Source organism: Homo sapiens, chromosome 8, assembly GCF_000001405.40.
Source record: "Homo sapiens chromosome 8, GRCh38.p14 Primary Assembly".
In the NCBI taxonomy this organism is placed as follows: domain Eukaryota; kingdom Metazoa; phylum Chordata; class Mammalia; order Primates; family Hominidae; genus Homo; species Homo sapiens.
The window spans coordinates 10,304,580-10,319,426 of NC_000008.11; the positions used below are offsets into that span (position 1 = coordinate 10,304,580).

The 14,847-nt window shown below is 42.2% G+C and overlaps 1 protein-coding gene across 8 annotated transcripts in view; it reads left to right on the forward strand.

Moving 5' to 3' along the window:
* Nucleotides 1-14,847, forward strand: part of MSRA (methionine sulfoxide reductase A) — a 374,600-nt gene that overhangs the window by 250,288 nt on the left and 109,465 nt on the right. The window lies entirely within an intron of this gene.

Genomic DNA, 14,847 nt, shown 5'->3' on the forward strand with positions numbered 1-14,847 from the left:
AATTTGAAGCCTGCTCCTCGAAGGATGGACCAGAGGCAGGGGAGAGCCAGGCTACAAATGAACTTGGCTATCACTCACTCACCACATCTGACCACAGCTGCCTAAATCTCTACTTGAGGTCACATGGCAACCTGTCACGTTTCACAGTAAAAGTTGGTCTTGAAAAGAAAGCCGCCACTAGAGAAGATGAGGGTGGTGAAGATATGTAAGACTGACTGTTCTTACTCAGAAAATGGACATTTTGAAAGAGAGCAGCAGGTTGGATTTGGTGGTGATTCTGATCTGTGAGGCAGTAGTCCACTCCAGGTTCTTTTCAGAAACAAAAGTGATTACTAAAACTACTCGAGCAATGCTCTTGCCTGTGCCAGAATTGCTTATCAACAAAAAGACAAAACTTGTGTAGAAGTTGAAAAGTCATTGACATTTGATGTGAAGATGCGCCCAGGAAACATGATTTCCACAGAAATGTGACTCAAGAGAAATGTATTTTAATTAGCATGTTGAAAGATTTTAGTACCTTTTTGTAAAGTCATTAAGGACTTGAAGGGGCCTTAAATTTTTTTGGTTATAATTCACTGCATTTTATAGGAGAAGCAGTATCTACAGTGATATTTGCAAATGTGGAGATTCTTGCTGATGTCAATGGTCTTACTGTAGTAGAAACAGCAAGAATGTAAGCTTAGAGTCCCCTTTCAGTTAAATCAGATCTTCATGGCATAGGCTAAACAGAGAACATTCAGCATGTTCTTTCCTGCTTCAAGGTGCTGAAGCAGCTCTCATAGTATCTGCCCTAATGGACATCTAGATGAAGTCCCCATGTGTTTTCTTCCTTTTTTTTTTTTTTTTTTTTTCCGGATGGAGTCTTGCTCTGTTGCCTAGGCTGGAGTACCGTGGTGTGATCTTGGCTCACTGCATCCTCTGCTTCACAGGTTCAAGTGATTCTCCTGCCTCAGCCTCCTGAGTAGCTTGGATTACAGGCATCCGCCACCACACCCAGCTAATTTTTGTATTTTTCATAGAGATGGGGTTTCACCATGTTGGTCAGCCTGGTCTCAAACTCCTGACCTCATGATTCGCCCACCTCGGCCTCCCCAAGTGCTGGGATTACAGGCCACAAGGCATGAACCACTGTGCCTAGCCTTCTGCCATTTTGGAGGGAGCAAAGCTGGTAAGTGAGAGATTGGAAGGTGTAGGCTTTTTAAGGTATAGGTGAGGCCCGAGACCTGTTATTCCACAGCCACTAGACAGTGAGTCTGAAGAGGATGCCACTCCACGGATTAGCCTAAGGAGGAATGACAGACATGCTAGCATCATTACTCATGTGGTCAGTAAGTGGAATAGTCTTTTCTTTTAATTTACCAATTACCACAGAACCTCTACTTTTGCTGAAACATTTGAATCCCACTGTTTAAGCCAATAGGTTCTATTCTGGCCTTCTTTCTTACTCATGGGATGAAGATAGTTCCTTTAGGCTTCTGAGGATAGACTGGCAGGTGTACATTCCTGGCCATGGGGTACCCAGACTCCCACTGTCTCCAGGCAACGTGGTGGGTGCCTGAGATTTAGGAGTTTTGAGTTCTGGTCCCTGGTTGGCCCCTTCCCAACCACATGATTTTGGCCAGGACACTTACCCAACCTGAACCTCCATTTTTCTCATCTACAGAAAAAGGGATAATAATGTCTATACTGCCGACTTAATGGTCTGATGTAGGAATTAAATAAAATAGTGTGAAAATAACATGAAAATGGTATAGGTGCCATGCCAGTGCCAGGTATTGTTGTTACGTCTTTTTCAACACAACAATACAATTCCATCAGATTTTAATTTTACATTTATTCTTACATCTGTGTTGCCCTTGATTCTTTGTCTGGGTAAGTATTTACCCTCCATCTACTAAAGTGTGGGTTTTCTACCCACCGAGATTCTTGTGTCTCTTGCATTGGTTGGAAAGAGTTCAGCATTGTTTATGTTGTCTTCTGGGACCTTGCTGGTGCTGACAGTGGTGATGAGGCTGGTGGATCCTTGCTCAAAAGCCTCCTTAAGGCTTCTTCTCACAGAGTAATCTAAAGAACTGGATCAGGTTCCCAGCATTTCATGGCTGGTCTGTATCCTCCTAACTAGAATGACCTGTGCATGAATAACACAATTCAGACCTCCTAGTCCTGCGTGGGACTCGGGGCACAGACTGAGTGCCTCGAGCCAAGCCACAGGTACACCAGGCAGAGGGTCTTCAGTTTTGTGTGACTTCACCCACTAAATCTGATTTCTCAGTTGCAACCCATCTTGCTGTCCTCAGTCCTGGAGCAAGGGAGAGCAATATTTACTAAGCACCTCTTAGGGGCCAGTCTTAGCGATAGATGTTTCATAATCCTAATTGCATTTAAATCTGACCATAACCCTGTGAAGTAAGGATCATTGTCTTTGCTTAGCAGAAGAGGAGCAATGAGGTTCCAAAAGACTCATAATCTTGCTTAATGTTAGTGGCGGTATTTGGATGCAGCTCTGTCTAAAGCTCAGGTCTATTTTCTTTTCCATACACTAGAGGAATCCAAGCTTCCTGACTAGGAAGACCTCTTCTAAGGATGCACATTTTTTTTTTTTTTTTTGAGACATGGTCTTGCTCTGTCACCTAGGCTGGAGTGCAGTGGCACAATTGGCTTACTGCAACTTCTGCCTCCCAAGCTCAAGACATCCTCCCACCTCAGCCTCCTGAGTAGCTAGGATGACAGGTGCACGCCACCATGCCCAACTTATTTTTTGTATTTTTGGTAGAGATGGATTTCGCCATGTTGCTCAGGCTGGTCTGGAACTCCTGGGCTCAAGCAATCCACCTGCCTCAGCCTTCCAAAGTTCTGGGATGACAGAGGTGGCCACTGCGCCCAGCTGGGGTGCATATTTTTATGGATCCTCCAGTGATAACAATTGGGCTTTTAGTACATTTAAAAAAGCAAATATATTAAAATGCTACCATGGATTTAATTATACTTTAAATTGCATGCCTATCATATTCACCACTTCCACATCATGTACTTCTGGAAAAGGGAACTATTGTACACATAATGCATTCTCCAGGCTCTAGATCTTGCCTGCTGCACAGTTGGATGCGTGGAGCTTTTGTGGCAACTCCAAGCCTTCCCAGAGGACTGTGGTCTGGAAACTGCTCCGGTATACTCCTTGGGGAGCAGTGGCCTTTGCAGAGGCCTCTGGCTGAGAGTGCTGGTTAACCCCAATATTAGGGTTCCCCCACCTGTGTAGTTTAAGAATTTTAGCTGGTGTGCAGCCACCCATAAAGACAAAATCCCTGAGACACCTTAGAGCTAAGTATGGCCACATGTCTAAATTCTGACTATGGGGGCCTTAGTAGAAGTGACAGCGTGCAGCTTCTGGGTTTGTGGCCTTAGAGGAAGGGGCATTCTCTTCCACTTCCTCCCTTCCCACAAGTTAGTGTGGGGCTGAAGTGGTGGACCATCACGAAGCCCAGGGATGGAGCCTGACCCTTGTGCTGCTAGAGCTGTGAGACTAAGGAGCCAGAGTCACCATCCCAGGCTGGATCTTTAGGCAAGAACTCTTGTTTAAAGTACTGCTATTGTGGTTCATTGAAGCCTTCTTATTCTCATTTTCTACAGCAGCTGAACCTATGTCTTGACTAACACAGCCTTCAACTATAAGCTGGTGATGAACTCCCAGTTACCCTTCTGAAAGCCTTAATTGCAGTGTTCCCTTAATTAAAACGTCTTTAATCAAACCTGTTGTTAAGAGTGTGGACCCTGGGGTCAGAGATGTCATGGCTGTGAACCAGATCGGCCCGGCACTCGCTGTGCGGACAGGCCTCATTTCTCTCTATCCACTTGACCACGTAGGTCCTCCAGTAGTCTACTAACTGGCCTGTCTCACCCTTTCTCATTCCCTGCTCCATAATGCCCTGTTAAAAACACAAAACCAGCTGTGGCCCCCTCTGGCTTAAAGCACTTTGCCGGTTGCCCGATTTCTTTGGGATGAGATCCGGACTCTTTACAGTGGCCAGTGTGGCCTGGGATTACCTGATTGGCACTTGCCTTTCCAACTTTGGCTCATACCACAGTTCTCCCCAGACTATGCCCCATCCATGCTCACTGTGCTTCAGTTACTGTCGCCTTCATCTGTTCCATTCCTGGAAGACTTGAGCTCTTTCTTGCCTCGCACACTGTTCCTACTGCTTAGCCTGTCCATAGCTCTTGGTCTGCCACCAACATCAGGCAAGACTGCAAGTCTTTGGAACCTCATTGCTTCTCTTCTGCTAAGCAAAGTCAGTGATGCCTACTTCATAGGGTTATAGTCAGGATTAAATGGAATTAGGATTATAAAACATCTGCCACTAAGACTGGCCCCTAAGGGGTGCTTAGTAAATGTTGCTCTTCCTTGCTCCAGGATCGAGGAGAGCAAGAACTATGTGACTGGCTCCTTCTCCTTTAAGTCTCAGCTGAAGATATCGTCCTCAGAAAGGTCTTCCCTGCCCACCCTAATTAAAGTAGCAGTCCCAGCCCTCACCCCCATGAACTTCTGTACTATCATTCTCTCCTTGCTTCCTAACTCATCATGAGGTAAAATCACATGTTTAATTGTTTATTGCTTATTCTCTGACTCCTCTAGAAGGTGGGCTTTGTATTAAATGTTTTCTCGTTGAACTAGTGAGTGAACCTCTGTTTCTGCATCTGTAATAGTTTGTGCCTTCTCAGTGTCGGGGCGCACACGGGCGCGGAGCCTGCCGTGCAGAGCGTGGCGCCTGGTGCGGAATAAGCGCTGGCTCTAATAGCTGTCGTGCTCATGCCGCCTGTGGAAGGGCCGTTTCCATCACCAGCTGCTGTTTGTTTGTCTTGTTCTTTCGTGAATCCCAGTATTTGTCTGCTTGTTCTCTATCATTTTTCCTCAGCTCATGTTCTGATTACCCCTGATGGCTTCCTATTCTTGGTTCACACCCTTTATCCTCAATCAGCTCCTCTTCACCCCTTTCCACCTGCAGCACAGCTCCCAGTTGTCCTCAGAAGGCTTGGTCTGGTTTGCCCCCCGTGGGCTGCACCGTCTATGCTGTTGGGTTTCCTGGGGCCCCAGGGCCACACATCCTGGCCTTACCGTGAGCTGGGGATTCTGTGGGGCTCCTCAGCCTGTGCTTGGAACTAGAGAGCCTGCAAGGACTCTTCTCTACTTGGTGTCCTTGGGCTGCATGGGCTTCCCTGCCAGACGTGTGCAGTCACCACAAAGCCCTGCTCCAGGCGAGTTTTTTCCAGGTGGTCCCAGGGAATCGGGTGGGATAGGTCCACTCCGTGTTCAGGAGGTTGGCTCCCGAGCCTCTTTCCAGGTGCACTGTGGAGAAGCAGGTCCCCTGTGCTGTCTACTGGGAAACATTCATTGAAGGGAGACAAATCCTATTTTCCTTCTGTTCCCCATCAACTTGGCAATAAAATACTGTCGTTCGTATATTTGAACTTGCCAGATTAATATCTGAACTTCCTTGTGCTGACCCCTTGAAGTTAGTTTTTTAAAATAAGTCACCAGTTTTGAAGGACTATCCTTTTTTAGACCATATACAAGGAATCTATCATCTGCAAATAATTAGACAGTGGGAATGATATTGTATTGCTAATGAGCAGATGTGCAGACTCGGATTGGAAGAACAGCTGCACACATATAAAATGCAAAAGCTACCCAAACCCAGCATTATGAATTCTGAAAGGGATTTCATTCTTTTAAGAATTTCAGAAACAGAGAAAAATGAAACAAAAGAATTTAACTGATATTTTTATTAATTGTTCTTTCAGTCACACTTTCCCTTCTATCACATTATCATACGTGTTCATAGTATCTTTGCTGTTTGCAAAAGTGTTATTTGCACTTTTAAATCCTTCTGTCATATAATACTATAAAGCTTCTATTTAACATTTTTCCTTTGCCTTTCTAGTGTTACAAGGGTTTGGTGTCTGCACTCTGAGTGACAGACTCTTACTGAAGGTCTTTCCTGAGCTGTGCGCAATGCTAAGTGCTCATGTGTACGTGATCCCATTTGCTCCTTAAAGCAACCTATGAACCTTAGACCCATTTTGTAGAGGAACAGAAAGGCCCAGTGAGGTGAAGTGATTTGGCACAAGCCACTTACTACATTGCTTGACGGAGGTGGAATTCGGACTTCAGGGCTAAAATCGAAGCCTGATGTTCTTTCTGTTGGGTAGCACATGGCCCCACAGTGCTACACAATTCTATCAGAAAGCAGAAAACATGACCCACTGGAAACAGCAGCACATTATCCGATGATTTTAAACTCTTTGTGATGTCCATTACAATTTTATAATCCTATTAAGGATTTGCAAGATGAAGAAGTCCAAATAATCAGGCTTTTGAAAACTTTTAGCCAGGAAGAGTTTCACATATCTTAGATAGTAATGGTTAGGTCATTTAGAATTTGAATAAATTGCTGAAATGGTATGAAATCACTAAAAAGAAATGAAGTCAGAAGAATTACTAGACTTCACATAAAAGAGTACTGAATTAGGTCACAGAAAAATCAGAGCTGGTAACACTGGCAGGAACTAGGATTTCTAGGTTCCAGGAATGGCAGGCTGAGTTATTCAGACCAAATTGCCCACTGAAAGCAGCTCCAAATGTTGAATAAAATACAACTATATATATAAAGCATCACATCAAAGGGCTGACAGAACTATGAGGAATTAACCAGGTTAAAATGGAAGGCAACACAGGAACCCAGACAGGTAAGCAGAGGATTAGATATATCTTTATTCTGAGCAAACTTGTTAATCCCAGAAAATGCGAGCTTTGAGAGCCTTATTAAGGACGTAGAGGGAGTGACCGACACAATTCCAGCACTTGACCCAGTGGACATAAGATGCTGTACCCCACACCTGGGGGGGCGCCTTCTTCTCAATCACACAAGGAACATATTCCAGGCCATAAAAGGCTCAGTATGTTTCAAAGGGATTAAAATCATGTAGCTTTTTTTTTCTCTTACCATAATGCAAGTATTCAGAAAATCGTCTTATGTTAGAAAATTTAAAAATTTCTGGCCAGGCATTATGGCTCACGTCTGTAATACCAGCGTTTTGGGAGGCCAAGGAGGGAGGATCACTTGAATCCAGGAGTTCAGGACCAGTCTGGGTGACATAGTGAGGTCTCCATCTCTACAAGAAATTTCAAAAAAACTAGCTGGGCATGGTGGCACATCCCTGTAGTCCCAGCTACTCAGGAGTTTGAGGTGGGAGGGGTGCTTGTGCCCAGGAGGTTGAGGCTGCAGTGAGCCATGATTGTGCCACTGCACACCAGCCTGGGCAACAGAGCAAGAGCTTGCCTGAAAAAAACAAATCTGAATATCCTAGTTATCAAAGATAAATCATGATGGAAATTGTAAAATACTTTGAATCAAATGATAATTAAAATACTGTATGTTAAAATCGATAGGGCATAGGTAAAGCAGTTCTCAGAGGGACATATAGAGCCTTAAATTCATATATTAGAAGAGAAAAGAAGCTGAGCTAAGCGTCCATCTCAAGAACTTAGAAAATCAGCAACAAATTCAACCCAAACAGTATAAAATAAATAATGAAGGGCAGAAAGAAATGAAATGGGAAGCAAACAAACAGAAGATCAAAAAAGCCAAGAGTCGATATTTCACAATGGCTACAAAATTGATAAAGCTCTGGGAAGTTGTTCAAGGAAAAAGTGAGAAGACACAAATATACAACATTAGGAATAAAAAGTGGGATATCACTACAGATGTGGGAGATTTTACAGAAACCAGGAAGATATGATAAGCAACTTTGTGTCAATAAATTTGAAAAGTTAGATACATTCTTTAAAAATATAGTTTAATAAAACTGAATAAAGACACCACTGGCTTCATCAGTGAGTTCTCCCAACATTTAAGGAAGAAATAATTGCAGTTTTTCATAATGTTTTCAAGAGATTAGAGAGAGATGCAGTCCATCTTATGATCCTTGCATAGTCTTGATACCAAAACTTAACTATGTAAGAAAAGAAAATTGTAGGACAATCTTACTTATGACTATATTTGCAGAAATCCTACGCAAACTATTAGCAAACTGAATTTAATAGTATATAAGAAAATAATACATCATGACCAATTTTAGTTTCCTCCAACGAACACAAGCTTAGTTTAGCACTTTAGTATTAGCCCATGTAATTAACCACCTTAGCAGGTATTTTAAAAACATGTATGATTATTGAAATAGATGCTTAAAAAGTACTGAATACAATTCAGTATTCATAAATGATTTAAAAACACATATAAAAGATGACTTTCTTATTCTGATAAGGAGTACATGCAAAAGCCTATAGCAAGCATTGTATTTAATAATGATGCATTGAGAAACTACAGAGAATGCCATTGCAATTTCTAATCAGCATTGGAGTGGGGGTCCTAGCTCATGCAGTAAGTCAAGGAAAGAATACATGTATGCTGATTGAAAAATCCACTAGATACCTATTTATCTTTCCCCAGCCGGACACCATTCCTCTTCTCCCTTGAAGTGGTCATGTGACTGAGTTCTGGCCAGTGGAATGAGGAAGAAGTGACATATGCTGCTTCCAGACCTGGCTCAGAAAAACCTGCTGCATGATCTGTGAACTTCTCTCTCTATATTCAGTCTGCCTGCTGAATGCTAATGCCAAGGGAAACCTTTGAAGCAACATATTGAAGGTGGTGAAGCTTCTGTCAGCCTAGGCCCCTGAAGAGTTCATGAAGTAGAACTGTTACCATCTCCTTTTTATTAACTGCTTTGCATGATTATGAAAGAAACTTCTATTATGTCCACCCACTGGAATTTCAGGGTTTACTTATTTACCAGGAACTGGTACCTTGAAGTGGAGTGCTACCAAAAAATCTAAAAAAAAAAAAACAAAAAACAAACAAACAAAAAAAAACATGGCATTGGCTTAGTAGTTAGGCAGCTGGAAGATCTAATATTGGGTCTTGTTTATGGTTGGTAAACACACCAATTCTCTCCAAATTGTTTTATGAATTCAGTGCAAATCCAAATGAGATCCCAACAGTTTTGTTGTTGTTGTCGTCAGTGTTGTTGTTTTTGTGGATCTTAAAAGCTAATCTCGACATTTATAGGGAAATGCAAAAGTCCAAGAAAAGCAAAGATACTTGCATAAGAACAAGAGGATGAGAGGACTTATTCTTCCAGATATCGAGTCATTATAAAGCTACAGCTGTTAAGACATTGTGTATCTGATGTAGGGACAAATGAATAGAGAGTTCAGAAACAGACCCACTCATGTCAAAGTATGACAAATGACACAGTTGGCATTTCATAGTACTGGGGAAATAATGGCTTCTTAATCAATAGTGATAAGATAATTTTCTTATAGGAAGAAAGTTAATTGGATTTCTGCCTCACACCATACACAAAAATCAATTCCAAGTAGATTGAATACATAAATGTCAAAGGCAAACGTACGAAATTTCAAGTAGATAATTTTCATGACCTTGGGTTTCGGAAGCATTTCCTAAACAAGACACAAAAGCACTAACCGTAAAGGAAAAATATTTGACAAATTTAACTATATCAAAATCTGACAACTTTGGTTCATCAAAAAGCATCATAAAGAAAATGCCAAGAACAGAAAAAAAGAAAAATAAAAAATAACAAATTGCCAAGAACAGAGAGATTATATTTGATAAAGGATTAGTATTCAGAATATATAAAAAATAGACTTAAATGTATGTGCAGTATTTTTTTTTAGAAAAGACAGACTGCTGAGAGAAAAAATGGGCAAAGGACTTGAATTGTGGCAAAGAAACATAAAATGATAATTAACGTTATTAATCAGGAAAATGCAAATTAAGATCAAGTGAGATTCCATTACACACCAAGCAGACTGACAAAAAGTGAAAATCTGACATTAGCAGACTTTAATGAATTGGCAAGCATTTAGAGCTCCAGGAATTCTTGTGCAGTCATGTGGTTTTGTAAATTGGTACGACTACTCTGGAAAAATAGTTCAGCATGTACTTAAGTTGAAGACATGCAAACACTATACAGCAACAATTCTATTTCTAGGTATGTACTCAAGAGAAACTCATGCATATGTATAAGAGAATACATGTCAAGAATGTTCTTTACAGCCCCAGGCTGGTAATGTTCATTAAGGGTAGAATGTATAAATCCATTGTGGTGCATTCATACAATGGGATATTATGAAGCCATGAAAATGAAGAAAATGGAAGGACCTCATGATCATAATTGTAAGTGAAAGATTCAAACTGTAGTATAATTGCATTTATATTAATTTTAAAAATAGGCTGTATTAGTCTATTCCCATGCTGCTAATAAAGACATACCGGAGACTGGGTAATATATAAAGAAAAAGAGGTGTAATGGACCCCAAGTTCCACATGGCTGGGGAGCCTTCACAATTATGACCAAAGGCGAAGGAGGAGCAAAGGCACATCTTATTACATGGCAGCAGGCAAGAGAGTGTGTGTAGGGGAACTGACCTTTATAAAACCATCAGATCTCATGAGACTTATTCACTGTCATGAGAACAGCATGGGAAAGACCTGCCCCCCGTGATTCAGTTACCTCCCACCAGGTTTTTCCCATGACACGTGGGGATTATTGGAGCTACAGCTCAAGATGAGATTTGGGAGGGGACACAGTCAAACCATATCACAGGCCAAACTAAACTAGGTTTATTCTGAATGTGTCCGTGTGCTAAAGAAATTATTGCAAAAACCAGGTGTGGTACAACCAGAGAGAGGGAAGGCATTGTCATCAATAGAGACACATGGAAGACTCTCAAGGGTACTTGGCTGTACTCTCTTTCTTGACATTAGTGGTGGTGATGTGAGTATTCACTTTATAATCACTAATTATAAATAGAGTAATAGTAGACACTTAACTGTGCGTATCTATTTTATGTACCTTTGTACATTTATGTCTTATGTACTTTTCTGTAATTAAATCTGGAAACTACAAAGGTATAATATGTCGATTGCTACTTCTGCTAATATGAACACTATCCATGATGGACTAGCTTTGTAAATGTGTGTGCACATGTGTGCTTGGTACTGATTTCAATGTAAGCATGTTGTAAATCTCATATAGTGGGGCACTTTGGCTGTAAAACTTTAAGATTTGGACTTGCAATGATGACCTAAAAATTTTACTATTTTGAACGTTTTCTAATATTTTCATTATTTGGCCAAACTTGGGATTTTAGAACATAAACAGACATGGAGTCCCAAAAGACATTCTAGGACGCATAATAAGTAAAAAGATTTTCTTTGGCCACCATAAATAGAATTTCCCTTTTACACAAACAAAATTCACACTATGATAACTTTTGACCTTTCATGAAGAAATCACCACATCTTGTCAAAATAATTTATGACTATAGAAGTAATGTGTACTCCTTACTGAAAATCAGGATCTTTCATTTTTCTTTTTGCTTTTAGATATGGAATAAATATGTGGCACCTCTGTTAAAAAGCAACACTATTTCATCTCCCTTGAGATGCACTGCGTGAAAAAATGCAAAGAACATTGTGCAGGTGATAGATAGTGACCGTATTGTGTGGCTGTCTTCCTTTTAGAAGAGAGCCACATAATATCTTTCATACATCCCTATATTCCACCTTTTTTTTTTTTACTTAAATTATATATATTTACAAATCGGAATAATAGTGGTTAAGATCATGGACTTTGGAGTTAGATGGTTCCAGATGCAGCACTGGCCTTCAACAGGCAACCAGCCTCTCTCTGAGTGTCAGTTTCACCTTTGAGGGAGTGTCAGTTTCACCTTGGCAGTGGGAGAGGGCAGGGATATGGGTTTACTAATATCCTCCAAGTATTTGCAGAATTGGGTGAATAACGTAGTAAAGCACAGTGCCTGGACATAGTGAGAACTATAGGATTGTTAGCTACTTTGATGATCCCTCTCTCTCTCTCTCTCTCTCTCTCTCTCTCTCTCTCTCTCTCTCTCCTTCCTCCTCCTCTTCTCCCCCTCCCTCTCTCCCTTCCTCCCTTTTGATGAAAGGAGGGCTGTCCATTCATTTATTCAGTGTTTTAAATTAAAAATGAGCTGTCAGTTAAAATGGACAGGATTAAGTTCTCAGATAAAGTGAGATGGTTATATTCATAGGGCTTGTCTCAAACACCTAAGGTAAAGGCAAGGTGCACCAGGAGGTGTCACCTGGATAATAAGAAGTGCCATCTTTCACTGTGAAGGATAGAGGCTCATCCACCTAGGGGAGGACTTCGGGACACCATGGCATGTTTTTTCACAGAGACCCTACTTTCCAGCAGAAGGTAGGAGGCCACCCCGAAGCAGCACCTGGGTGAGCTCTCCCAGCAATGCCAGCATCCCTGGTGGTCTTCCTGTGCCACTGCAGCATGCAGGTAGCCTTTGGTGCAGCAGACTGTAAGGCAGGATCCGTTTTCTCTTAGCAGCAGTCTATAGAAGAGAAGAATGTGGAGGTCATGCTAGTAGGAGTCACTCTGTTTTCAACCAACATGGACAGTCCTGCTAATGAGATTGCTCCCGCAAAGCTCCCTAAGATAGAGATAGCGATTTCAGACCCTGAGGCGTTGTTCCTGACTTGTCCTGATGTTCACTGTCAGCCGGTAACTCCTGGGACCTCGTAAAGTGATCACCTAGCAACAACTCTTAGCATAAACTTCCCTTTAAAGTTCTCATTTTCAGACACATTTATCACGTCTGCAATCAGGATGGATAAAACAGAGTTGGTACCCAAAGATGAGCTGAGGCTTAGGAGGCCCTCTGAGCAGAGGAGAAGTCATCATCTTATGCTTCATTATAGATGAAGCGTTTCTGTTTTCCTCTGCTTCCTCTGGCTCTGCCGAGAGGGAGAGAAACCTCAGAGCAGTCTTAGGGTTGTTTGTCCCTTTAAAATCTTCTTTGGAGAAAGTGGATGGAGAAATCTCAAGCAGTTGGTAGATGTCAGGAGGTCAGTTCTCATCAAGAATGCCCCAAAGCCCAGTCCTCATTAATCAGTTTATAGAGTACTATGGAAGCATTTTAAGCACAAGGTGTTGTTTCTGAGCCAGTAATTCTCTTTCCACTCAACACTGAAAGTCCACTGCTTGCTTTCCTGGTACATCAAGACAGCCAAATAGTGTCAATAATTTTTCCTCATAGTTTTTCAAAAGCCAAGTGGAGGGCACAGTGAACTTTGCAACACTTGTTGCATCTGTGGGAAAGGGGGCTCTGGGTCATTGCTTGGTGATTATGCTCACTCAGGGTTCCAGAAAATACTGTAGCTCATGGGAGTCTGATCTTTCCACGCATCTCTGGTCCCCACCGTGACTTGTCAAGATACCTATGTGGTTACACGCCCAACCCACCAGCTTCAGGACCCACCAGGCCCCTTGTCAGACCTTGTCCTGCCTCTTCACAGTCCTCAGAACGTTCCAAGCTTGTTCTTATTTCTGGGCCTTGGGCTGGGATGCCCCCTCCCCAGCAGGTACCCTACATCCAGAAGCACTTTGTTCCATTGTCCTCGATTATTTTGCTGTAACTTCTCATGCATCCATTTTGGAAGGAGAAAGGGCTTTGGTGTCGGGGCCATCAAAGTTTAAATCGCAGGATGGCCATTTACCTGCTATGTGACCTCAGGTGGGTCACTGAATGTCTCTGATCCATAATTTCCTTTTTGTCAAAGAGGGTTAAGAATATCTTCTCCACAGGGCTCATGTGAGGATGAAACAAGAAATGATGGCAAAGACCTCGCACAGGGAAGTACAGTGTCAGGCTCGTGACTACTCTTACCCCTCCCTCCCTCGTCCTGGTTATTCCTTGAGACAAGGGATTATGACCTAATTCTTCTGTAGCCTCTAGAGTGTGGAGGCTACAGTTGACACACACGAATTCTTTCTGCTGGAGAGAACATATTTATTTGCAGAAAGAGGAAAGACATATAGGAGTTATTCTATCATCAATAACATTTTTCTGTCCTATCTCAAAATATAATTTTGGTTAATTTTGCCCTCTGGAGAACAGCATTATAAAGCCTGTTTAGATCAATTTATGACAGTCAAATATTTCGTTTGTTTTGTGATTCAATGGGTAGACAAGCAGGGCCACTTCTTGTATTCCTAGCCGTTCCTGGATGTTGGTTCTTTCTTCTAGGTTTTCAGTCTGTTGAGTTTCCAGTCATCTTTCCCAGTGAAGCATCTTTGTCATCTGGGCTTCACGCTTGAGGGTACCATGCTCATCCTCTTGAGAAGCGGGCATCAGGGCTTTGACACAGATGCTTCCTGGGTTACAGCTGCTTTTGCAAGCAGTAGCAGTTCCTTCCAAGTCCCTGAAGGCACCGCACTGCTCCGCAGTCCTTACCTTTGTTCTACCTTCACCCTTGGCGCCCACCTGCTGCCAAGACAAGTCACTTCCTTGATCCAGCCTTTGAGACATAGGCCCCTTCCCCACTGATCACGTGAACTTACCCACTCCCTTTCTGAAACCTTGCATTTTTTTTAACCTGCACAGATTTTCCCTTAACACCTCTAATTCTTGCTTATGCCTGCTGGTCTCTGTTTCCCCTGATTATATTAGGAATGTGACTAGCTGAAACATGCTACTGGGTCCAATTCCTGAATCCCAGTGCCTGGTTCATTTTCACCACAACATGGTGGCCTACAGGGGATCTGTGGCAACCCTGCGGCTGTTTCACTCTGGGGCACTGTCACACTCAGATAGAAACTGACTATCATCCACCCTTCAGCTGCTGAGACTGGCAGAAAATGCTCTTTGCTGACTTTAAGTTGCAGGCTAGATGGGTAGGTGACTTTAGTCATAGGTGCAGGACTCCTGCTATG